We start from the raw sequence: 1,688 nt of genomic DNA, 5'->3' as shown, positions 1-1,688 counted from the left end.
CCCCTGTAGTCCCAGCTACTCAGGAGGCTGAGGCAGGAGAATGGCGTGAACCCAGGAGGCGGAGCTTGCAGTGAGCAGAGATCACGCCACTGCACTCCAGCCTGGGAGACAGAGCGAGACTCCGTCTCAAAAAAAATAAATAAATAAAAGTGATGTGTGAATATTCCCTCCTAATAGTAATCAGTAGAGCTCAAGGCTTAGTGTTCTAGAGACCCTGCCATTATACTGAAATTTTAAAATTGTTATCGTAATGAGCATTTACATATATAATACATCTCATTATGCTGACAGTATGCTAGCTTCTGATTAAAAGTTGCAGCTAGATTGCTTCAGCCCTTTCTTTTACATGATATTTTCCCTTCAACTAATTTTTGATTATATGAGTTGTGCTATTTCATATCTAACTAAGCTATGTTCATTTATTAAGCCAGTAATCATCAAAATCTGTGGCTTAAATTTTCAATTGTAGTCTGTGTAGAAATAAATTGTTATTTGATGATAATACAGATTTTACTGGGTTCATGACTAGAAATCTAGATTATAAAAAATTCAGGCAGTCATATGATATTTACAAATAGCTATATGTTTGCCATTATGTGGCTAAAATACCCAGACAATTGACTGTTTGGTTTGGTTTTTTGGTTTTGGTTTTGTTTTTATTCAATTTTCCTCCAGATGATTCAGAGTAGATGCATCCAAGGAAATCTTTGAATTTTAAGTGCTCAATTTTCATGGCATATTACAAACTTCTACAATCAGCATGAGTCATCAGCTTTTCTCAGAAAGAATGGTTACTCTAAAGACTAGGATCTTGGTTTCTCAGTCAGTATTATTAGGAATTCTTTGATCTTAATCTTGCGTGTAACCTTTGCTCCTTAAAATGAGCTTCTGAATTTTAAACACAAAATGAAAATACTGAGGAAAACATTAAACAAATAGATGATTAAGACTTTAATGGCTTTATCATTCAGCTAAGTGTTTTCCTTCCTCATGAGGCCAAGCAAAACAAAAAACAGCTGAAAGGAAAAATCAAACACATCATCTAAGATTGTTTCCTGTGATCTCATGAAGATTGGGAAAGAACTGCTAAGTCTCCTGTTCTCTTCCGGAATGAATTTATTCTGACGAAATCATGCTAGTCAATATTCCCTAGGTTTGAAGTATATGGAATAAATGTCTTTCCGGAGCCACCAAAGGCTTCTGAGCTGATAGAATGGTGTCTTGTGATATGGCAGACAGAGACCTGGACTTGGATTAAGGGAATCAGGCTCTCATGTCAGCTCTGCTGCAAATTAGGGGTATAACCCTTTGGGTCTGTGTCTCATTTGAAAATATGATGTGGCTAGACAAGATGATCTTTCAAGATCTTCCATCAAAAATCTATGACGGGCTGGGCGCAGTGGCTCATGCCTGTAATCCCAGCACTTTGAGAGGATCACTGGAGCCCAGGAATTTGACACCAGCTTGGGCACAATGGCAAAACTACATCTCTACAAAAAATACAAAAAAAAAAAAAAATTAGCTGAGTGTGGTAGCACAGCTGTACCCCCAGCTACTCAGGAGGCTGAGGTGAGAGGATCACTTGAGCCCAGGAGGTCAAGGGCTGCAGTGAGCCATGATTCTGCCACTGTACTCCAGCTTGGGTGACAGAGCAAGACTCTATCTCAATAAAATAAACTCTATGATGC

General features: G+C 38.4%; 1 annotated feature.

Annotated features, from left to right (window-relative positions):
• Positions 266–1,465: an enhancer, noted in NCBI's record as "P300/CBP strongly-dependent group 1 enhancer chr4:26569763-26570962 (GRCh37/hg19 assembly coordinates)". NCBI's record gives its function as "activates an origin of replication core promoter dependent on BRD2, BRD4, P300/CBP, MED14 and CDK7 cofactors, with strong dependence on P300/CBP, by STARR-seq in HCT116 cells {active_cell/tissue: HCT116}" and the evidence as "EXISTENCE:reporter gene assay evidence [ECO:0000049][PMID:35650434]".

The sequence above is a fragment of the Homo sapiens genome, chromosome 4 (assembly GCF_000001405.40).
Source record: "Homo sapiens chromosome 4, GRCh38.p14 Primary Assembly".
Classification (NCBI taxonomy): Eukaryota; Metazoa; Chordata; class Mammalia; order Primates; family Hominidae; genus Homo; species Homo sapiens.
Note: the sequence above shows the minus strand (reverse complement) of the source record. Positions and strands in the feature narration are given on the sequence as shown.